At 41.9% G+C, this 23,737-nt stretch overlaps 4 protein-coding genes across 13 annotated transcripts; 1 reads left to right on the top strand and 3 right to left on the bottom strand.

The window, feature by feature from the left end:
* HNRNPH2 (heterogeneous nuclear ribonucleoprotein H2) lies at positions 615 to 6,526 on the bottom strand. 2 transcript variants are annotated; one of them, NM_019597.5, is made up of 2 exons: positions 6,429 to 6,526; positions 615 to 2,812 (listed from the first exon to the last, which is right to left on the bottom strand). In NM_019597.5, exon 2 carries the CDS (start codon positions 2,757 to 2,759, stop codon positions 1,410 to 1,412), a length of 1,350 nt encoding a protein of 449 aa, NP_062543.1. In that variant the 5' UTR covers positions 2,760 to 2,812; positions 6,429 to 6,526; the 3' UTR covers positions 615 to 1,409. The 2 variants fall into 2 exon arrangements, with proteins under 2 accessions (NP_062543.1, NP_001027565.1); NM_001032393.3 differs by having other exon boundaries at positions 6,441 to 6,526.
* On the bottom strand, positions 615 to 23,737 carry RPL36A-HNRNPH2 (RPL36A-HNRNPH2 readthrough). Of its 2 annotated transcripts, NM_001199973.2 has the most exons (5): positions 23,702 to 23,737; positions 23,184 to 23,289; positions 22,926 to 22,993; positions 19,291 to 19,413; positions 615 to 2,812 (listed from the first exon to the last, which is right to left on the bottom strand). In NM_001199973.2, the coding sequence occupies exons 1-5, from the start codon at positions 23,702 to 23,704 to the stop codon at positions 2,756 to 2,758; spliced, it is 357 nt and encodes a 118-aa protein (NP_001186902.2). In that variant the 5' UTR covers positions 23,705 to 23,737; the 3' UTR covers positions 615 to 2,755. The 2 variants fall into 2 exon arrangements, with proteins under 2 accessions (NP_001186902.2, NP_001186903.2); NM_001199974.2 differs by lacking the exon at positions 19,291 to 19,413.
* On the top strand, positions 6,823 to 16,945 carry GLA (galactosidase alpha). 8 transcript variants are annotated; one of them, NR_164783.1, is made up of 8 exons: positions 6,823 to 7,038; positions 10,763 to 10,937; positions 12,939 to 13,116; positions 13,991 to 14,082; positions 14,948 to 15,004; positions 15,802 to 15,963; positions 16,181 to 16,378; positions 16,649 to 16,945. NR_164783.1 is itself a non-coding variant. In NM_001406747.1 (8 exons), the coding sequence occupies exons 1-8, from the start codon at positions 6,845 to 6,847 to the stop codon at positions 16,937 to 16,939; spliced, it is 1,413 nt and encodes a 470-aa protein (NP_001393676.1). In that variant the 5' UTR covers positions 6,823 to 6,844; the 3' UTR covers positions 16,940 to 16,945. The 8 variants fall into 8 exon arrangements, 5 of the variants coding, with proteins under 5 accessions (NP_001393676.1, NP_000160.1, NP_001393677.1 ...); NR_176253.1 differs by lacking the exon at positions 14,948 to 15,004 and adding an exon at positions 13,401 to 13,515; NM_001406747.1 differs by lacking the exon at positions 14,948 to 15,004 and adding an exon at positions 9,515 to 9,637.
* Positions 18,593 to 23,737, bottom strand: RPL36A (ribosomal protein L36a). The gene is made up of 5 exons (NM_021029.6): positions 23,702 to 23,737; positions 23,184 to 23,289; positions 22,926 to 22,993; positions 19,291 to 19,413; positions 18,593 to 19,020 (listed from the first exon to the last, which is right to left on the bottom strand). The coding sequence occupies exons 1-5, from the start codon at positions 23,702 to 23,704 to the stop codon at positions 19,000 to 19,002; spliced, it is 321 nt and encodes a 106-aa protein (NP_066357.3). The 5' UTR covers positions 23,705 to 23,737; the 3' UTR covers positions 18,593 to 18,999.

Below are 23,737 nucleotides of genomic sequence, written 5' to 3'. Positions count from 1 at the left end.
AACCTGCTTCTTTTTTATGTTTTGTTTTTAACACATAATTGTAAGCCTACTTCTTTTTAAACATACAAACGTGCCTTCTAGTTTGTGGTGAAATAAAAAGGATTATTTATTTGCTTTCACTTCTTTGGATTTTAGAGAATACTATCTTGGTAAGTACAGTCTCCAAAAGTAGCTCAATAGTCCTGTAGACATGGTAAGTTTTTTTTAAAAAAGAATGTACAACTTTAATATTAATCAAAAAAATACAAATTAAAATAGCAATGAGATATCATTTCTCAACTAAAAAACTGGCAAAGTTCAAAAAGAATAATGTGCATCAATAAGGAGGGTATAAGGGGGAAAATAAAACACACACTCCAAGTAGAAAGATAAAGTACCAGAATCTTTCTGGTAACACAAATCAGAAGCCTTAAAAATGAGTATATCTTTGACTCAGCAATCCCATTTCTAGGGATATATCTTAGAAATAATTAATGATATATGCAACAATGAACATATAAAGATGCTAAATATCATTTATAATTTTAAAATTAAAAATCTTAACTTTGAGGGAATTGTAAAGTCAATCAGTGTGCCCATATGACAGAACATAATAAAAATCAATCAGTTCAAGATTTTTTCCAGTTTTTAAAAGGAAGATTTATTTAACAAGTTTCACTTAGTACAATACATCTAAATGGAAATCACAATACAAGGAAAGATTTAAACCAAAGCCTCAGATTTTCATACAAACGACACGACCAAACTTCTAAAGTATTGGTATTACATCTTAAAATTGTCCCGTATCCTTAAAAAAAAAAAAAGTGTACACTCACGTGCCTTACAGGATATTAAACCAAAAAGCTAGAATTAACAAACATGCCAAATGTTTTCACTTTGAATCGTAGACACAGCTCCTATATTTGAGTTTTACAGAAAGGCATGTTTCTCAACATGCATCCGAAGTTTTCAATGTATTTGTGGTATAAGAGCAACATTTAACATAAGTGAAACTGCATTAACCTAAATACGCTTACTGCTTAGGTACACTCCTACAACATAACTAACTTGAGGAAAGCTAAAAATTGTTTTAACAGTTATGGTCAATACTGAACTTTGTTATTATGTCCTAGATGAATGTTTCAGTGTTCAAAATTACTGAGCTTGAAGTTTTAAAATAATCTCAACTTCCACTTTACAGTAAGCATGAATCACAAGCCTGTAATGCAAAACTGTTAAACTTAACTCGTTTTCTTAAAAAAGGAGAAAGAAAGATAAAGAAAGAGAAGCTGACCAAGAGTGATCAGAATCAATTATATTTCCCATTTACCAATCATACTGGATATACTAAACATCCCTCCCATTCTATTCAACTCCCACAAATGTACAGCTTTTATATCTGGAGTAGCTATTTAGTGCTCCTTCTCTACCTAAGCAAGGTTTGACTGATAGTCACTGGAGTTTTCCTGCAGAACTTGGTCATATCCACTCATACTGCTCTGACCACCATAACCACCTCCATAACCACCACTCAGCTGCTGGCTAGCAGGACCTCCATAACTAGACTGGTTGGATAAGCCCATCCCTCCCATCATTTGGCTACCATAAGCGCCACCACTTGCCCCTGCTGTAGAATTCAAAAAAAGTTCTACATAGCTGTGATCGTAAGCACCCCCACTTGTTCCTGCAGTAGAATTTAAGAAGAGCTCCACATATCTGTGTTGCATATTAGCTTTGTCTTTTGCCATAGCTGCCACAGCATCTTCATGAGTAGCAAATTCAACATCTGCCTCACCGGTAACTCTGCCATCGGGTCCAATTTCAATATGTACTCTCATGGGATTAAGAGGTGAGAAGAAATTATAAATATCATTCTCAGTGGCTCTGTAAGGTAACCCCCTCATGTGTACACAGTGCCCTGTGGTGCTCTGGAAACTGGACCCACCATCTCCGTATCTATGATCAGACATTCCTGAAAAACAGTAATTGAGGTCTCTTCCAAATCTATCAGACCCAAAGCCATATCCATCATTATAGCCACCATAGTCATCATAGCCTCCATACCCTCCACCATAGGCACCACGCCTCATCCTTTCAAACCCAGCTCCTCTGCCAATGCTATTATACCCTCTGCCAGCCCCCGGCCTATCATAGGGACCTGGCCGCTGCATAGCCATGAGCTTTCGAGGGGGATCATAGTGGGTTCGAACTTCAGCTCGGCTACTCTTGAAGATCTCAATGTACCTGTGCCCTATTCTTTCCTTGTGTTTCTTTAAGGCCTTCTCAGCTATCTCCTGTGAAGCAAACTGCACAAAGGCTTCCCCTGTGCTTCGCCCCTGAAAGTCCACTGGCAGTGTCATCCCATTTGGCACAATTTCCAACCCTGAAAAGAACTGAACAATCTCTTCCTTGCTACAGCCAAATGGGAGTCCTCTAAGCCGGACGAAGCCATCGTTGGCAGTATCAGGGCTATTCGGACCTGTATGCTTCAACACCCAATCCATTTCAACACTGTTAGACTTGAATACTTCAACGTATCTGTGTCCCATGGTTTCTCTGTCCTTCTTCAAAGCCAATTTCACTTCCTCTTCAGATTCAAGTTCAACAAATGCTTCACCACTTGGTCTGCCTTCTCTGGTGTAGATGAAACGAATACCTGATGTGCCATTTTGGATCTTGCAATCAGAGAAGAAGCGCATCACTTCATCGGCTGAGCAGGACCAGGGTAGGCCCCTGACCTTCACCACGAACCCCTCCCTGCCTTCCGTGCTCAGCATCATGGTGATTGTTGGGCTCTTGGTGGCAAGTTTGGCTCAATGCAATTTTGGTGTAGCTGAAAAAAAAAAAAAGAAGACTACTGTCATGGAAAAATGCTCGTGATATAGTAAGAGAAAAAAGCAAACTATTAATAGAAAATTCAATTATGCTGACAGCTTTTCTGTAAGACGTCTGTATAAACAGAGAGTTCACCAAATTTTTAACTCATTCATTTTTTAGCAGTTATTTATTCAATGCCTATTACGTGTTAGATACCATTAAAAATTAACAGCAATCGGCCGGGTGCGGTGGCTCACGCCTGTAATCCCAGCACTTTGGGAGGCTGAGGTGGGTGTATCACCTGAGGTCAGCAGTTCGAGACCAGCCTGGTCAACATGGTGAAACCCCGTCTCTACTAAAAATACAAAAAATTGGCTGGGCGTGGTGGCAGGTGCCTGTAATCCCAGCTACTCGGGAGGCTGAGGCAGGAAAATCGCTTTTATGTACCCAGGAGGTGGAGGTGAGCCAAGATCACGCCACTGCACTCCAGCCTCAGCGACCAGAGCAAAACTCCGTCTCAAAAAAAAAAAAAAAAAAAAAAAAAAAATTAACAGCAACAAATCAGTGGGAGATGTCAACAAATAAAAGATGGCTATATCTGAATATATAAACATAAAAAACTTCACTAGATCAAAAGATTAAACAACAATTAAAACACAAACAAAACACAGGTTATGTAAGTTCTTTATATAATATCTTCATTATATAAAAATGTATGCAAATCAATAAAATCAGGGAAATATTTGGGCTCCAGAGATAAATGAAAAAAAGACATTATTGGGAATTCACACATTCATTTTAGAAACATTTTTTAGTTGCCATGTCCAATATTCGGCTCTGGCATACAAGAATCAATAAGCCCAGAATGGGCTTATGGTCCTACAGGAGCACCGAATGTCATTATTAAAGATGTAAATGCAAATATACATTATACTTGCCATGACCCTCTGAGTGGAGTGTAAGCATAGTATCAAAGAGGGACTAGTTGATCAGTTCTATTGGTTGGAGGCCAAATGGTTAAATGAAACAGACTAATCTGCCCAGGGATCCATAAACATTTTTTTTTCTTAATTATGATGAAGCACAAATAGGAGAGGGAAAAGCAAGTGAAAAGACTGGCAAGGCATAGATCAGATCCCAAAGACTTTGATATACAAACACTAAGCGCCTTTTAAGACTTTTAAACCGGGGAGTATGTAGGGTGACTTCACCAAAACTCTTTCAGACAGATCACCCTGGCAACAGCGTGGCACTCAAACAGAAGGGGGTCGACGTGGAACTAGGGAGATTAGTTAGAACTTGTCTCATAAATATATGTTAAAGGAATCGCCTAAGGCAACAGGAGTAAAATGGAGAAAAGATGTATCTACACATACCAAAAAAAGTGGAATCTGCGGGACTTGATAACAGATTAAGTATGAGAGAATACAGGTATAGGAGGATACAGGAGAGGAATCTGGGAAATGTTCAAATTTAATCAATCTTCCAGCAAGTTAAAATCAGAACTAATCGTTATTTTTCACCCATCAAGATAATGGAAATTAAACAGCAACAGTAAATCAGTGCTATGCAGTTCACAAACTAATACACTACCAGAAGAGTGATAATTGATATAAACTATTTCCTTTTTGATAAACCCCACTATATCCTGAAAGCAATTTGATAATATGTATCACGCCTTTTGACAGCAAATACATTTCAGTTATGTGCCCTAAGGAGATGATCTGAAATTCAGACAGATTTATGGAGCTATATATTCTTTGAAAAGTACTTTATTAAGAAAACGAATATTATGCATTTAATTTTAAAAGTTACAAAAATATTTAATAACATGAGAAATTACTTATGCTATAATTGTAAGTGACCCAAGAGCACAACTGCTTTACAATATCAACTGTGTACAAAATACATGTTCCCATACCCTTTGACACTGCTAGAATCCTTCCAGGAATCTAGTCAACAGAAATACTTACAAATGTTCCTTGCAGCACTGTTAGTAATGGCAGAAAATTGGAAACCTAAATAGCCATCATTAGAGGAATGGCTGAATGAATTATACTTTATCCTTAAACTGGAATGCAATGCAGCCATTTAAAAAAAATCTATCTGCCTTGACCCAGAAAGATCTCCAAAATACATTAAATAAAAGAATATACATAGTATGATCCTACTTATAGTAAAAGATTGGCATGCATGTATATACGTATGTAAATAAATAAAAGATCTGGAAGCAAACTTGTTTTTGAGAGAACTGAAGGGTGGGGGGGTGAAGTGGGCTTTTCGCTTTTTACCCTATATACTTCTATACAGTTTTAATTCTTTACATTTGCTGTACTGGGATTTTTTCTTTTTAAGTTAGAAAGAACATATTAGTGGTTACTCTGAGTGGGAGGTTTATGGATTTTCCATGTTATTTTTCCAATTTTTTTATGCAGCCTTAAATTTCTACAGAAATAATTACTTTTACTTCAGCAAAAAAAGTAACATAAAACAAATTAAAATGTTTGCATTTCTGGGATTTGGTATAGGAAATTTTATAAAATTTTCTAATTTTGTATGTGGATGGTTTATCTGAAATGGTCTGGGAGCACTGGGCCTCTTGGAAACAAAGTACAAAGTGTAATAACGGCCATAAAACTACACTGAGGAAACGATTTAACAAACATTTACTGATTGCCGATTATGTGCCTAGCACACTGCATCTGCAGTGATAACAGTTTTCCTATTAACCATCCTAAGGTCTCAGTGACAGATTTACAAGCTGTTTTTTTATTTCATTTTGCAGGATTTTTTTTTTTTTTTTTGCTTGCCTTATCCCTGGGATAACCCGTCCCATTTAATTCCCTGCACCGCTCTATTCCTTAAGAGCCCTTCTGTAGGGGCAGAGAGGTTCTACTTCATTACTGCGTCTCCTGGGAAGGCCATCAGGACTGCTGGCTAAAGTGGGAACCAGGACTCTTTGTGAGTTAAGAATTTGTGTATTTATATGTGTGTTATACACATTTTTTAAAAAACTGTAACGACATCAGGTTGAGCAGTCGTCTCCGGGTGGTGAATTATGTGTATTTTTAAATTTTATACTATATTGTTATTTTTCAAATGTTCGAAATTGAATATGTAGATTGTTGTTATCAGCAGAAAAATAAACATTATTCAAATACTCTATTCAGTAAAGTAATTTATTGGGCGCCTTTGTCAAGCACGCATTTGCCTAGATGTGACTCTACAGATAAAATTCACTTGGGGCCTCCCCTTACAGACAATCAGGCAGTGGAGACTGAGTGCCTGAATGGATAGACCAGCACTCAGACCACTATTTTCAGTATCTGTTTTTCTTAACTCAGGGCCGTGGTTTTCAAACGTTTTTCGCCTTACGGTCACCCTTAGGGGTCCCCCGAGACCGGCCCAGACAGACAGATATACAAAAACACATACACAGTCATGAGCGTCCACCATTTCCCCACCAGGCGCAGCACAGGCGGCTTCCCGGCACTGAGATGGGGGGGAGGAGGGAGAGAGCGCGAGGGGGGAGGGGAAAGCAGAGAACGAAAGAGGCGGAGGCGGCCCCCGAACCCCGCTCTGGTCTTCATCATCACCACCCCTGGGTCCCCAGTTCCCACCCACACACCAACCTCTAACGATACCGGGTAATTTTCCTCCTTCTTCCCTCAAACGGCTATAGCGAGACGGTAGACGACGACCAGAACTACTTCTGCTCACGTAAGCGAGTAATCACGTGAGCGCCTACGTCATGTGAGATCTCGGTCACGTGAGCAACTCTCGGCTTAAACTCGGGATCACTAAGGTGCCGCACTTCCTTCTGGTATGGAAATAGGGCGGGTCAATATCAAGAAAGGAAGAGGGTGATTGGTTAGCGGAACGTCTTACGTGACTGATTATTGGTCTACCTCTGGGGATAACCGTCCCAGTTGCCAGAGAAACAATAACGTCATTATTTAATAAGTCATCGGTGATTGGTCCGCCCCTGAGGTTAATCTTAAAAGCCCAGGTTACCCGCGGAAATTTATGCTGTCCGGTCACCGTGACAATGCAGCTGAGGAACCCAGAACTACATCTGGGCTGCGCGCTTGCGCTTCGCTTCCTGGCCCTCGTTTCCTGGGACATCCCTGGGGCTAGAGCACTGGACAATGGATTGGCAAGGACGCCTACCATGGGCTGGCTGCACTGGGAGCGCTTCATGTGCAACCTTGACTGCCAGGAAGAGCCAGATTCCTGCATCAGGTATCAGATATTGGGTACTCCCTTCCCTTTGCTTTTCCATGTGTTTGGGTGTGTTTGGGGAACTGGAGAGTCTCAACGGGAACAGTTGAGCCCGAGGGAGAGCTCCCCCACCCGACTCTGCTGCTGCTTTTTTATCCCCAGCAAACTGTCCCGAATCAGGACTAGCCCTAAACTTTCTCTGTGTGACCTTTCCTGGGATGGGAGTCCGGCCAGCGGCCCCTGTTTCTTTCTCTCTCTCTCTCTCTCTCGTTCTCCTTCTCTTTCTCTTTCTCTTCTTTCCTCTCTCTTTCTCTCTCTCCCTGCCCGGTTCTCTTTTTTCACTGCTCCTTGCAGAGCAGGGCCACCCCATAGGCAGTGTGCCCAAAGTAGCCCTGCCCGGTTCTATTCAGACCCTTCTTGTGAACTTCTGCTCTTCCTCTGCCGGGTGCTAACCGTTAGAACATCTAGGGTGGGTAGGAGGAATGGGGAACTAAGATTCGTGCCATTTTTTCTCCTTTTGGGGTCGTGGATTTCTCGGCAGTATCTCGAGGGAGTTAGAGAGACCATAAGGTCGCTGAGATCTCTCCCACCTCGCCCATGAGCGTGGCATCAGGCTGGAAGGTTGACATGGAGGAACTTTATACATTTACACCTTTGCGTGAGGGTTGAGGCTGGATTAGATAGGTATTGAACATATCTGACCCTCACAATCCTTATCTGTAAATTGGGATTACAACCTTTTAATTTCAGGGAGCTGACAAAAAAAATCTGAAAAATAGTTCTTATCTCACACAGGTGAGTTTTCAAGGAGATAACCTATTTAAAGTACATAGCACAGCGCTTGACCATTCAACTGCGCTTACAGAGCAAATGTTCAATGGGAAAATGAATGTAAATCTACAAATCTGAATGAATATGTGTATTTTTCTGGAGAGAGGATATTTACCTTTCTTCAAATTCTCAAAGGGCTCTGTGATTTAAAAAAGGTTAGGAATCACTGATAGATGTTGGTAAAAGGTGGCAGTCACAGTACATTTCTGTGTCCATAAGTTATTCCTATGAATATCTTTATAGATAAAGTCAGGATGTTGGTCAGACATCACAGAAGAAATTGGCCTTGTAAGTTTCATGTGACCCTGTGGTACAGTATGTGTGGCAATTTTGCCCATCACGGATTTTTTTTTATTGGTATTTGCATCTGATTATAAAACTAATGCATGATCATTGCAAAAAATGTAGATAAAGAAGAGCAAAATGAAAATAAAGATTTCCCCCCACCGTTCCACCACCCAGAAATAATCATGGTTTAAATGTTAATATACAACCTTACAATTGTTTTCTATATAAATGAAAACATAGATTTCTTTATTTCATTATTTTCCATAAAAAATGGATCATGTTTATGTCATGTTTGGCTAATGGCAAGACCCTGGCACCCAGTCTGGGCTCAAATTCTGCCTCATTGTTACTTAGCCCTGTGACATTGGGTAAATTACACTTTTTTTTTTTTTTTTTTTTTGAGACGGGGTCTCGCTCTGTCGCCCAGGCTGGAGTGCAGTGGCACGATCTCGGCTCACTGCAAGCTCCGCCTCCTGGGTTCACGCCATTCTTCTGCCTCAGCCTCCCGAGTAGCTGGGACTACAGGCGCCTGCCACCACGCCTGGCTCTTTTTTTTTTTTTTTTTTTTTTTAGTACAGACGGGGTTTCACCATGTTAGCCAGGGTGGTCTCAATCTCCTGACCTCGTGATTCGCCCGCCTCAGCCTCCCAAAGTGCTGGTGTGAGCCACCGTGCCCAGCCTTACTTTTTTTTTTGAGAGGGGGTCTCACTCTGTCACCCAGGTTGGAGTGCAGTGGCGCGATCTCTGCTCAGTGCAAACTCCACCTCCCGGGTTTAAGCAGTTCTCCTGTCGTAGTCTCCTGAGTAGCTGGGATTACAGGCACACCACCACGGCCAGCTAATTTTTGTATTTTCAGTAGAGACGGGTTTCACCATGTTGCCCAAGCTGGTCTCGAACTCCTGGCCTCAAGTGATCTGCCCGCCTTGGCCTCCCAGAGTGCTGGGATTACAGGTGTGAGCCACCGCACCCGGCCTCTTTTTTCTTTTTTAGTCTATCATACCTTGCAAATACAGTGGTTCTTCCTATGTGTTGGTTTTGATATTTATGTAATCAAACACATCAGTTTTTCCTTTCTGATTTCTGACTTTGGGGTCATGCTGAGAAAGTCCTTTCCTACCTGAAGATAATACAGTATATACGTTTCTTACTAGTATTTTTGTGGATTTTTAAAATATTTAAATCTTTAGTCCATCTGAACTTTGTTCTTCTATCAGAAATGCCACATTTAATAAATAATAAGTCCCATGGTATCAGATGGCTGGAAGGACCTCTTTCGAAACTTTGTTTAATTCCATTAATCTGTGTATTCTTATTCTAATGCTAATAGTTCCACACTAGCTTCCTTTATCTTTTTTTTCTTTTTTTTTTTTTTTTTGAGCTGGAGTTTCGCTCTTGTTGCCCAGGCTGGAGTACAATGTCACGATCTCGGTTCACCGCAACCTCCGCCTCCCAGGTTCAAGCAATTCTCCTGCCTCATCCTCGCGAGTAGCTGGAATTACAGGCATGCGCCACCACGCCTAGCTATTTTGTATTTTTAGTAGAGATGGGGTTTCTCCATGTTGGTCAGGCTGGTCTCAAACTCCCAGCCTCAGGTGATCTGCCTGCCTCGGCCTCCCAAAATGCTGTTATTACAGGCGTGAGCCACCACGCCCAGCCTTCATCTTTTAATGAATGTACATGTATGTAATCTTTTAGGTGAACTTTTTGTAATGTTGTGCCAAGTTCCTTAAAAAGCCCTTTTGGAAGCTGGGCAGGTGGCCCACGCCTGTAATCCCAGCATTTTGGGAGTCTGAGGCAGGTGGATCACTTGAGGCCAGGAGTTCAAGACTAGCCTAGCCAAAATGCAAAACCCTGTCTCTACTAAAGATACAAAAATTAGCCGGATGCGATGGCACATGCCTGTAATCTCAGCTACTCGGGAGGCTGAGGTAGAAGAATCGCTTGAACCGGGGAGGCAGAGGTTGCAGTGAGCCAAGATGGCGCCACTGCACTCCAGCCTGGGTGACAGAGGGAGACTCCATCTCAAAAAAAAAAAAAAAAAAAAAGATAAAAAGGAAACCTAAGTACTCTTGGGCTTTGTTAAGGATTTTGTTAAATATACAAAGGATTGCAGGGAAAATTAACTTATTTTTAATATTGAGTATGCTTATCCAAGAGCAAAATAATATTTCTCCATTTATTCAAATCATTTAGGAGCATCATAGTTTTAACATATGGGCCTTGCACGTATCTTAAATTTATCTCTAGGCATTTTAGGTTGTTCAGTTGTTCTTGTGAATGGGATCTTTTTCTCCAAATAGGATTATTGTTGATATCTGTTGATTATGTTAACTTTGTAGTTTCTGACTTTACTGAACTGTCTTCTTAGATCTAATACTCTTTTCAATTTCATCATATATTTCTCATTCCTATTTTGTTTGGGGTTTTTAGGGCGGGAATATTAACGGGATAAGAGAGACAAAAGAAAATCTGGAAAAACAATTCATTTTACCTTACATTGCTTGTGATTACTACCACACTATTACTGGGTTGGAAAAAATTGTGAAATCCCAAGGTGCCTAATAAATGGGAGGTACCTAAGTGTTCATTTAATGAATTGTAATGATTATTGGAATTTCTCTTTCAGTGAGAAGCTCTTCATGGAGATGGCAGAGCTCATGGTCTCAGAAGGCTGGAAGGATGCAGGTTATGAGTACCTCTGCATTGATGACTGTTGGATGGCTCCCCAAAGAGATTCAGAAGGCAGACTTCAGGCAGACCCTCAGCGCTTTCCTCATGGGATTCGCCAGCTAGCTAATTATGTGAGTTTATAGATAATGTTCTTGTTCATTCAGAGGACTGTAAGCACTTCTGTACAGAAGCTTGTTTAGAAACAGCCCTCATGGCCGGGCGTGGTGGCTCACGCCTGTAATCCCAACACTTTGGGAGGCCGAGGCGGGTGGATCACCTGAGGTCAAGAGTTCAAGACCAGCCTGGCCAACATGGTGAAACCCCAACTCTATTAAAAGTACAAAAAATTAGCTGGGCATGGTGGTGAACGCCTGTAACCCCAGCTACTTGGGAGGCTGAGGCAGGAGAATCGCTTGAACCCAGGAGGTGGAAGTTTCAGTGAGCTGAGATCACGCCATTGCACTCTAGCCTGGGCAACAAAAGAGAAACTCCATCTCAAAAAAAAAAACAAGGAAAAAAAGAAACAGCCCTCATGACACTTAGAAAGTAGAATAGCTGGCTGTTATCTGAACATTGAATTGTAAGGCTTATCAGGTGGACTTTGCATTCCATCAGCAGACAATTTTTTTTTTTTTTTTTTTTTGAGATGGAGTCTCATTCTGTCTCCCAGGCTGGAGGGCAGTGGTGCGATCTCGGCTCACTGCAAGCTCCACCTCCTGGGTTCATGCCATTCTCCTGCCTCAGCCTCCCAAGTAGCTGGGACCACAGGCACCCGCCACCATGCCCAGTTAATTTTTTGTATTTTTAGTAGAGACGGGGTTTCACCATGTTAGCCAAGATGGTCTCGATCTCCTGACCTCGTGATCCGCCCACCTCGGCCTCCCAAAGTGCTGGGATTACAGGCATGAGCCACCGCGCCTAGCCTACAAATGTTTTGTAATAGCTCTTGAGGCCCATCTTGGAGTTCTCCTTTTGCTAAAACCACTGAACTCTCTAGGAGGAAAAAGGAACTTGGTTCTTGACATATGTGTGCATGTATTTCCATATAACCTTTAGGAAGCTATTGCAATGGTACTATAAACTAGAATTTTAGAAGATAGAAGGAAAATATTCTGGAGATCATTGAAGAGAAATGGAGTCCAACACTAGTTAAAGATGATGAAGACAGATTTTTTTTTTTGACGGAGTCTCGCTCTGTCGCCCAGGCTGGAGTGCAGTGGCACAATCTCAGCTCACTGCAACCCTCCACCTCTTGGGTTCAAGTGATTCTCCTGCCTCAGCCTCCCAAGTAGCTGGGACTACAGGCGCACACCACCACGCCCGGCTAATTTTTGTATTTTTAGTAGAGACAAGGTTTCACCATATTCGCCAGGCTGGTCTCGAACTCCTGACCTTGTAATCCGCCCACCTTGGCCTCCCAAAGTGCTGGGATTACAGGCATGAGCCACCACGCCCGGCCGATGAAGACAGATTTTATTCAGTACTACCACAGTAGAGGAAAGAGCCAAGTTCAATTCCAAATACAACAAAGACAGGTGGAGATTTATAGCCAATGAGCAGATTGAGGGGGTCAGTGGATGGAATATTTAAGAAGACATCAAGGGTAGGGAGCTTCTTGCTAAAGCTTCATGTACTTAAACAAGAAGGGTGGGGGATGAGGGAAATTGATCAGATATCAATGGTGGCAGTATTGACTTAGCAGGATTCTTGCTAAGAGGTCTTGCTAGGACAGACATAGGAAGCCAAGGTGGAGGTCTAGTCGAAAAGAAGGCTCATCAGAGAAGTCTAACTAAAGTTTGGTCAAGAAGAGTCTTTGTCAAGGTAAATCTATCATTTCCCTCAAAAGGTAATTTTCAGGATCCCATCAGGAAGATTAGCATGGCTGCTAGCTTTCTCCTCAGTTCTGGGCTATAGCTCACATGCCTAGTTTGAACTAGCTCAGCAGAACTGGGGGATTTATTCTTTGTCTTCCAACAAACTCATCTGGATGATTTTGGGGGTTTGTGGGGAAAAGCCCCCAATACCTGGTGAAGTAACCTTGTCTCTTCCCCCAGCCTGGAATGGTTCTCTCTTTCTGCTACCTCACGATTGTGCTTCTACAATGGTGACTCTTTTCCTCCCTCTCATTTCAGGTTCACAGCAAAGGACTGAAGCTAGGGATTTATGCAGATGTTGGAAATAAAACCTGCGCAGGCTTCCCTGGGAGTTTTGGATACTACGACATTGATGCCCAGACCTTTGCTGACTGGGGAGTAGATCTGCTAAAATTTGATGGTTGTTACTGTGACAGTTTGGAAAATTTGGCAGATGGTAATGTTTCATTCCAGAGATTTAGCCACAAAGGAAAGAACTTTGAGGCCATGGTAGCTGAGCCAAAGAACCAATCTTCAGAATTTTAAATACCCTGTCACAATACTGGAAATAATTATTCTCCATGTGCCAGAGCTCCCATCTCTTCTCTTTCAGTTCATTAATTAATTAATTAATTCATGTAAAATCCATGCATACCTAACCATAGCTAATATTGTGCACTTATAATTCAAGAGGGCTCTAAGAGTTAATTAGTAATTGTAACTCTCTATAACATCATTTAGGGGAGTCCAGGTTGTCAATCGGTCACAGAGAAAGAAGCATCTTCATTCCTGCCTTTCCTCAATATACACACCATCTCTGCACTACTTCCTCAGAACAATCCCAGCAGTCTGGGAGGTACTTTACACAATTTAAGCACAGAGCAACTGCCTGTCCCTGCTGCTAGTTTAAACATGAACCTTCCAGGTAGCCTCTTCTTAAAATATACAGCCCCAGCTGGGCATGATGGCTCATGCCTGTAATCCTAGCACTTTGGGAGGCTGAGGCGGGTGGATTACTTGAGGTCAGGAGTTCGAGACCACCCTGGCCAACATGGTGAAACCCCATCTCTAGTAAAAATACAAAAATTAGCTGACTTTGGTGGCACATGCCTGTAATCCCAGCTACTTGGGAAGCTGAGACAGAAGAGTCACTTGAACCTGGGAAACAGAGGTTGCAGTGAGCCAAGATCGCACCACTGCACTCCACCCTGGATGACAGACTGAACCCCATCTCAAAAAATTAAAATAAAATAAAATAAAATAACTATATATATAGCCCCAGCTGGAAATTCATTTCTTTCCCTTATTTTACCCATTGTTTTCTCATACAGGTTATAAGCACATGTCCTTGGCCCTGAATAGGACTGGCAGAAGCATTGTGTACTCCTGTGAGTGGCCTCTTTATATGTGGCCCTTTCAAAAGGTGAGATAGTGAGCCCAGAATCCAATAGAACTGTACTGATAGATAGAACTTGACAACAAAGGAAACCAAGGTCTCCTTCAAAGTCCAACGTTACTTACTATCATCCTACCATCTCTCCCAGGTTCCAACCACTTCTCACCATCCCCACTGCTGTAATTATAGCCTAAGCTACCATCACCTGGAAAGTCATCCTTGTGTCTTCCCCTTTATTTCACCATTCATGTCCTGTCTATCAACAGTCCTTCCACCAGTATCTCTAAAATATCTCCTGAATCAGCCCACTTCCTTCCATCTTCACTACATGCACCCTGGCCTTCCAAGCTACTATCGGCTCTCAACCAGACTGCTGGGACCACCTGATCTCTCTGCTTCCACTCTGTCTCAACCCCCATCTATTTTCCAAGCAGCACTAGAGTTATCATATTAAAATGTAAATATCAGTTTTTTTTTTAAAGAAAAAAACCCTGAGACTTAACAGAGTTATAAAAAATATAAATGTCATCATCAGTTCCCTGCTTAAAACCCTTAACTCGCTTCCAATTGCACTTGGAATGAAACCAAACTGCACTGATCCAGCCCTTGCCTGCCTCCCCAAAGTCCAAGGGGTCATGGCTCTTTCCCTGGCTACACTGGTTTTCTTTCTGTCCCTCAACACTGCAAGCCTATTGCTGCCCCAGGGCCTTTACACTTGCTTTTTTTCTGCCTAGAACAGTTCTTCCCCAAAGATTTTTAAAGGGCCGGGCTCCTTAACATTGAAGTCGCAGACCAAACGCCACATATGCAGACAGTTCTTCTCTAACTACTTTAAAATAGCCCTCTGTCCATTCATTCTTCATCACATTAACCTGTTTAATTTTCTTCTCAGAGCTCCACACTATTTGGAAGTATTTGTTGACTTGTTACCATGTCTCCCCACTAGAGTGTAAGTTTCATGAGGGCAGGGACCTTGTCTGACTTTGACTGTATCTCTCGCATATGGTTAAGTGTTGAATAGTTATTTATGGAATGAATCCCTATTATTCCCTCATTATCTCTGCAAAATAGTCTTTTTTCTCAACATCTTAAACCTGATATCCCACCTGCCTATCTACAAACTTTTTTTTTGCGACAGAGTCTCACTGTCACCCAGGCTAGAGTGCAGTGGCGCCATCTCGGCTCACTGCAACCTCCGCCTCCCGGGTTTAAGCGATTCTCTTGCCTCAGCCTCCCAGTAGCTGGGATTATAGGCGTGCGCTACCACATCTGGCTAATTTTTGTATTTTTAGTAGAGATGGTTTCACCATGTTGGCCAGGCTTGTCTCGAACTCCTGACCTCAGATGATCCACCTGCCTCGGCCTCCCAAAGTGCTGGGATTACAGGCATGAGCCACCGTGCCCAGCCTCTACAAACTTTTTATTCCATTAACAAACTATATGCCTGGGATTTAAGTTTTCTTAATACTTGATGGAGTCCTATGTAATTTTGCAGCTTTTAATTTTACTAAGACCATTTTAGTTCTGATTATAGAAGTAAATTAACTTTAAGGGATTTCAAGTTATATGGCCTACTTCTGAAGCAAACTTCTTACAGTGAAAATTCATTATAAGGGTTTAGACCTCCTTATGGAGACGTTCAATCTGTAAACTCAAGAGAAGGCTACAAGTGCCTCCTTTAAACTGTTTTCATCTCACAAGGATGTTAGTAGAAAGTAAACAGAAGAGTCATATCTGTTTTCACAGCCCAATTATACAGAAATCCGACAGTACTGCAATCACTGGCGAAATTTTGCTGACATTGATGATTCCTGGAAAAGTATAAAGAGTATCTTGGACTGGACATCTTTTAACCAGGAGAGAATTGTTGATGTTGCTGGACCAGGGGGTTGGAATGACCCAGATATGGTAAAAACTTGAGCCCTCCTTGTTCAAGACCCTGCGGTAGGCTTGTTTCCTATTTTGACATTCAAGGTAAATACAGGTAAAGTTCCTGGGAGGAGGCTTTATGTGAGAGTACTTAGAGCAGGATGCTGTGGAAAGTGGTTTCTCCATATGGGTCATCTAGGTAACTTTAAGAATGTTTCCTCCTCTCTTGTTTGAATTATTTCATTCTTTTTCTCAGTTAGTGATTGGCAACTTTGGCCTCAGCTGGAATCAGCAAGTAACTCAGATGGCCCTCTGGGCTATCATGGCTGCTCCTTTATTCATGTCTAATGACCTCCGACACATCAGCCCTCAAGCCAAAGCTCTCCTTCAGGATAAGGACGTAATTGCCATCAATCAGGACCCCTTGGGCAAGCAAGGGTACCAGCTTAGACAGGTAAATAAGAGTATATATTTTAAGATGGCTTTATATACCCAATACCAACTTTGTCTTGGGCCTAAATCTATTTTTTTCCCTTGCTCTTGATGTTACTATCAGTAATAAAGCTTCTTGCTAGAAACATTACTTTATTTCCAAAATAATGCTACAGGATCATTTTAATTTTTCCTACAAGTGCTTGATAGTTCTGACATTAAGAATGAATGCCAAACTAACAGGGCCACTTATCACTAGTTGCTAAGCAACCACACTTTCTTGGTTTTTCAGGGAGACAACTTTGAAGTGTGGGAACGACCTCTCTCAGGCTTAGCCTGGGCTGTAGCTATGATAAACCGGCAGGAGATTGGTGGACCTCGCTCTTATACCATCGCAGTTGCTTCCCTGGGTAAAGGAGTGGCCTGTAATCCTGCCTGCTTCATCACACAGCTCCTCCCTGTGAAAAGGAAGCTAGGGTTCTATGAATGGACTTCAAGGTTAAGAAGTCACATAAATCCCACAGGCACTGTTTTGCTTCAGCTAGAAAATACAATGCAGATGTCATTAAAAGACTTACTTTAAAATGTTTATTTTATTGCCAACTACTACTTCCTGTCCACCTTTTTCTCCATTCACTTTAAAAGCTCAAGGCTAGGTGGCTCATGCCTGTAATCCCAGCACTTTGGGAGGCTGAGGCGGGCAGATCACCTGAGGTCGGGACTTTGAGACCCGCCTGGACAACATGGTGAAACCCCATTTCTAATAAAAATATAAAAATTAGCCAGGTGTGGTGGCGCACGCCTGTGGTCCCAGCTACTCTGGGGGCTGAGGCATGAGAATCGCTTGAACCCGGGAGGTGGAGGTTGCATTGAGCTGAGATCATGCCACCTCACTCCAGCCTGGGCAACAAAGATTCCATCTCAAAAAAAAAAAAAAAAGCCAGGCACAGTGGCTCATGCCTGGAATCCCAGCACTTTTGGAAGCTGAGGCAGGCAGATCACTTGAGGTTAGGATTTCAAGACCAGCCTGGCTAACATAGTAAAGCCCTGTCTCTACTAAAAATACAAAAATTAGCCAGGTATGGTGGCGAGCTTCTGTAGCCCCAGCTACTCAGGAGACTGAGGCAGGAGAATCACTTGAACCCGGGAAGTGGGGGGGTGCAGTGACCCAAGATCACGCCACTGCATTCCAGCCTGGGCAACAGAGCAAGACTCCATCTCAAAAAAAAAAGTTCTATTTCCTTGAATAAAATTTTCCGAAGTTTAAACTTTAGGAATAAAACTATTAAACCCATATTTACTCATCCAGATACCCACCCCCCTTGTTGAGATTCTCTCCCAATTATCAAAATGTGTAGCATATTTAACTACCAAGAGCTAAACATCATTAAGACTGAAATGTATTAAGAAGGATGTATAGGCCAGGCACGGTGTCTCACGCCTGTAATCCCAACACTTTGGGAGGCCAAGTCGGGCGGATCACGAGGTCAGGAGATGGAGACCATCCTGGCCAACATGGTGAAACCCCCTCTCTACTAAAAATACAAAAATTAGCCAGGCAGGTGGCAGGCACCTGTAATCCCAGCTACTCCAGAGGCTGAGGCAGGACAATCACTTGAACCTGGGAGGCAGAGGCTGCAGTGAGCTGAGGTTGTACCAATTGCACTCCAGCCTAGGTAACGAGCAACACTCCATCTCAAAAAAAGAAAAAAAAAAAGATGTATAATTTGGAACTGTTAAGAGGCATTTTAAAGAATGGATATTTTGTCTCTTAAGATTCTTCCACCGGGGAGTTTGGCCAGACCTGGTGGCTCACACCTGTAATCCCAACATCTTGGGATGCTGAGATAGGAGTTTCACTGAAGGCCAGGAGTTCCAGACTAGCTGAGTAACAAAGAGAGACACCCAACACAAAAACTAAAATTAGCCAGGTATGGTAACAGGCACCTATAGTCCCAGCTACTCAGGAGGCTGAGGCAGGTGGACCACTTGAGCCTGCAAGCTCAAAGCTGTAGCAAGCTATGATCCACACCACTGGCACTTACGAGAGGGAGACCCTGTCTCAAAAAAAAAAAAAAAACTCCACTGGGGGGTTTCATACACTAGAAAACCTATTCTTTGTAGTTATTTTGGTATAAATATATCTACTTTAAAATGTGAGGGGGAATGTCAAAATGTTCAAGAGTGTAAGACCAAGTCCACAGACAATGTTATATATGTTACAGTGTACTGTGTCTGAAGAACAATGCCAAAATTCTTTATTAAATTAACTGTTATAACAAAGATCTGACACTTAACTCTTAGCAAAGACATCTCATATTCACTATGAATGTGTTACTGACTTCTCCCTATTAGCCTGAAATGTGTCTACTCACATGATAACCAATAACCATTGCATAATGACAAACTGCCTCATAAGGCCCCTAGTGATTGAAGTGCCAAATTAGAAAATTGCAACATATGATGTGAACTCAACCAGTCAGCTTCAATGCAAAACAAGTAGTACCAGTAAGAGGCATAAATTTCCCCACAAGCGGAATTGTATTGATGGCTCTAGCTTATTCCCTCCCAAAAGATGAACAGCAAACAAATGAAGTGAACATAAACTCAAGATTTTATTGTCTTCATAATAAAAGATGACACTTAGAACTGGATCACTTGGCCCTGTAACAGAACAGAAAAAAGTTGTTTTGTATTTTGCCATGAACTACTGCCCCATTAAGAACATTATCTGTTCCTAAAATACTCACCATGCTGTTAAGCTGCCTCATTCTTCCTTTCCTCCTTGTAGCAAAAGACCTCACATATCTTTAGCTATAGATCTAATATTTTTAGAGGATTACCCCTGAGCTCTATGCCACAATGAATAGATGTTCACCTTTTCAAATAATAAAGCTATGAAAAAGATTGCACCTTCCACCCATAATTATATACCTTTCTCTTCTTATCTCCTCCCAGTTCAAAATGCTTGCATCTTTTAATAGCCAGCATTCTCTTAGATCTGCAGTTGGGCTCAACGCACTCAAGCCTTAGCACAATCTTCTTTGTAGTTTTAGCCTGAAAAAAAATTAAATTAAAGCCTTAATAAATAACTACAGAAGATCACTTTCTTCAAAAATGACTACTTTAAGTACTATTTAAAGCAAAGCATTGCAAATGAATAGTGGGGCAACTATTCTTTTGCAATGCTTTGCTTTAAATAGTACTCAGTATACTCTTAAGCCATAGGGAGAAAATAATCTAAAAATCAGTGAATTTAAGAGAAAATGTGTAGAACTTGTGGACTAAAAAAAATAAAGAGAAGGCTGGGCACAGTGGCTCATGCCTGTAATCCTAGCACTTTGGGAGGCCGAGGCAGGCAGATCATGAGGTCAGGAGTTCAAGACCAGCCTGACCAACATGGTGAAACCCCATCTCTACTAAAAATACAAAAAAATCAGCCGGGCATGGTGGCACGTGTCTATAATCCCAGCTGCTTAGGAGGCTGAGGCAGAAGAATCACTTGAACCCGGGAGGTGGGCGGAAGTTGCAGTGAGCAGAGATCGCACCACTGCACTCCAGCCAGGGAAACAGAGACTCCATCTCAAAAAAAAAAAAAAAATATATATATATATATTATATATATAAATATATATAAAAAACATAAAAATATATATAATATATAATATATAAATATATATATATAAAGAGAAAATGTGGTAATAGCAAAGATGGCATGTCACCCAGTTGTCATCAAGTTTGAATCCAAACCCCATTCAGATCAAACATCCTAGAGCTTCCTATCAAATGGGCAACTCATCTTGCCACCCTGAACTTGTGGCCATTCAGCAGCTCTGCATAGTTCTTTAATCCCAACAGTTTGTGAGGCTGAGGCAGGATCACTTGAGCCCAGGATTTTGAGACCAGCCTGGGCAACATAGTGAGAACCCCATCTCTATAAAAGATCAATAAATTCTAAGACTACCTACAATTATGTCTAGAATTTATGTCCATTCAACTGAATTATTTAACTCAAACTACACTCCCCACTAATCCTCAACTTTTTTTATTGTTCTTTTTTTTTTTTTTTGAGATGGAGTTTTGCTCTTGTTGCCCAGGCTGGAGTGCAATGACGTGATCTCAGCTCCTTCTCCTGGGTTCAAACAATTCTCCTGCTTCAGCCTCCTGAGTAGCTGGGATAACAGGCGCCCACCACCACGCCCAGCTAATTTTTTCTTATTTTTACTAGAGATGGGGGTTTCATCATGTTGGACAGGCTGGTCTTGATCCCCTGACCTCAGGTGATACACCCGCCTTGGCCTCCCAAAGTGCTGGGATTACAGGCGCGAGCCACCACGCACGGCCTTGATTGCTCCTTTTACCTAAACAACAGAACTATTGTTTACAAGTTTTCTATTTACCAAAAAATTGCAAACATGCTACAGAGTTCTTATAAACCTTACCAGTTTCTCATCTTACATTAGTATGACTCATTAACAAACCAACACTGATGCCTTATTAACTCAAGTCCATACTTTTTTTTTATTTCCTTATGTTTTTCTAATGTCCTTTTTCTGTTCTAGGACCCCACGCAGGACACCACCTAACATTTAGTCATCATGTCTCTAGACTCCTTTGGCTGTGGCAATTTCTCAGACTTTTTTGATGACCTTGACAATTTCCGCACTACTGGTCAAGTATTTTGTAAAATGCCCCTCTTGGGATTTGTTATTTTTCTCATTAGATAGGGTTATGGATTTTTAGGTTTAAGTGTCATTTTCATCACACCTTATCAAGGGTATATATCAACATGACTCGTGACTGTTGATGTTAACCTTGATTACCTGGCTGAGGTAGTGCTTGTTAGGTTTCTCCACTGTAAAGTTTTATTGCATTTTTTCTTTGAGGTACAAACAATCCAATTACACTCTAAGTTATTTTAAAATATGTAACTAAGTTATTGACTTTAGTCACGCTGTCGTGCTATCAAATAGTTGGTCTAATTCATTCTTTTTTCTTTTTGTACCCATTAACCATCCCCACCTCCCGCCACCAGAAGTTCTCAGCTTCTGGTAACCATCCTTCTACTCTCTATATGACAAGTCCACTTGTTTTGATTTTTAGATCCCACAAACAAGAACATGTGATGCTTGTCTTTGTGTGCCTATTTCACTTAACATAACGATCTCCAGTTCCACCCATGTTGTTGTAAATGACTGGATCTCATTCTTTTTATGGCTGAATAGTACCACTGTGTATAGGTGCATTTTCTTTTTCCCTTTTTTTTTTTTTTTTTTTTGAGATGGAGTCTTGCTCTGTCGCCCAGGCTGGAGTACAGTGGCGTGATCTCGGCTCACTGCAGCCTCTGCCTCCCAGGTTCCAGCGATTCTCCTGCCTCAGCCTCCCGGGTGGCTGAGATTACAGGCCCACACCACAAGCCCGGCTAATTTTTGTATTTTTACTAGAGACGGGGTTTCACTATCTTGGCCAGGCTGGTCTCGAACTCCTGACCTCAGGTGATCCACCCGCCTCGGCTTTCCAAAGTGCTAGGCACAAGCCACCGTGCCTGGCCGCGTATAGGTACATTTTCTTTATCCATTCATCCCGATGGACACTAAGGTTGCTTCTAAATCTTAGCTATTATAAACAGTGCTACAACAAACATAGGAGTGCAGATATCTCTTTGATATACCGATTTTCTTCTGGGTATATACCCAGCAGTGGGATTGTTGGATCATATGGTAGCTCAACTTTTAAATACTCAATTTCCTAATAAGCTTGCCCCTTTAGCCAGAGTTCTGCTGCTGCTAGTTTGCAGTTCTTAATAGGCCAAAACCTAGTTAGAACCTCTGTCTTCTAAACAAGTTATCCGAATGTGAAAAGGTATAAAAAAAGCATTCTTTTTGCCACCCTGAGATCAAACCACTTACTGCATCCAAATGAGCACTAAAGTCATTCCTTAATACTTTCTGGAGCTAAACTGCACAAGAAGCAAAGTGCCAAAAGAAATGCTGTGTTGGAGAGAATGCTCCGTTCCAATCATCGTGCTAATTACTTTAAGAGTTAGCCAAATCACCTAAGGTTTGAGAGTAAACAGAAACTCGCTCAGCCTGAGAATACAGAATTCAGGAGGCTAGCAGAAAGGCCTAAATGGCTATTCTATAAGAGTTTTAAGACTTCACGAGAACAGGTAGTTGACTGCAGATTTCTGTGATGAGAAACAACAGAACAATTCTTAGTGCAACCAACAAGCGAGGATTCAGACATATTGACAGATAAGGAACAAGGCAAATGAAAGGATTTACCAGTGTACTCACACTTCAGTTCTTAGGAAAGCAGGGCACATTCCTCAATTTTTTGCCTCTTCAGAAGGGAAAGGATAAAAAATCGTAAACACTGAAATAGTGCAGTATTGTGGACTAGTCAGACATGAGTTGCATTCCCAGCTCCATCACCTACTAGATATATCAGTGCAGTGAAAACTTCGCTAAACTAACGCTATACCTATATCATGAAGTGTGTGGACTAGAGACAAGTGCATATCCTTACGGCAATTAACTGGGAAACGTCAAATAGTAACTACCACTCACCTTTTTCCGGAAAATCGGCTTAGTTTGCCCACCATAGCCACTCTGCTTCCTGTCATAACGCCGCTTTCCTGGGAAAACGAATTGGTATTTGTTATAAAATACTGAAGATCAGCAAGTAAGTCTTACAGGTTTTATCTTAATTTCGCAGCAGAAATATTAACGCTCAAGCCAGGCGTGGAGGGAGAGAGACCCGGACTCGTATGTTATTCTACAACACAAATGTCACATTAACACCAAATTATGCGGAATCCATCTTACCCTGGGCGTACAGAGAATCCTTGCCCTTCTTGTACTGTGTCACTTTATGGGGTTGGTGCTTGCCACACTTCTTACAGAAAGTCCGGCGGGTTTTAGGGACGTTAACCTAGTAAAGAAACAGTTCAGAACGTGCAATGTTATTTGACCACAATGGCACAACGCCCTACCTTACCCAGCTAAAGCTGAGGCACTCCAGGAGGACTCCTCATTACTTGCTACCTCTGACTACAGGGTGGGCCAGCCCCATGTGCTTCAAGCAGAGCTTCCTCCCTCCGTCGAGCCCCAAAGAGGGAAGAGACCTCATTAACTCCACCCCCGGCTAACTCTACCTCTTTGAACCCATCACTTCAATTCCTGGCCCCGTAGCCCGGTCCCTTTAGGGTTGATCCCGGCAAGATTGGGTTGCTCTGATATATCGAGTCCACACAGGAGCCTGGACCCATCCCGGCATAGCACGGGCGACGAAGGGGGGGAAAGATTAAGCTGGATGTTACTCGGCCCCCACCAGCAAGTCCTACCATGCTTGCGTGAGCGCTATCGGCGCGGAAAGAAAG

Source organism: Homo sapiens, chromosome X (genome assembly GCF_000001405.40).
Source record: "Homo sapiens chromosome X, GRCh38.p14 Primary Assembly".
Classification (NCBI taxonomy): Eukaryota; Metazoa; Chordata; class Mammalia; order Primates; family Hominidae; genus Homo; species Homo sapiens.
This window is presented reverse-complemented; position numbering and strand designations above follow the sequence as displayed.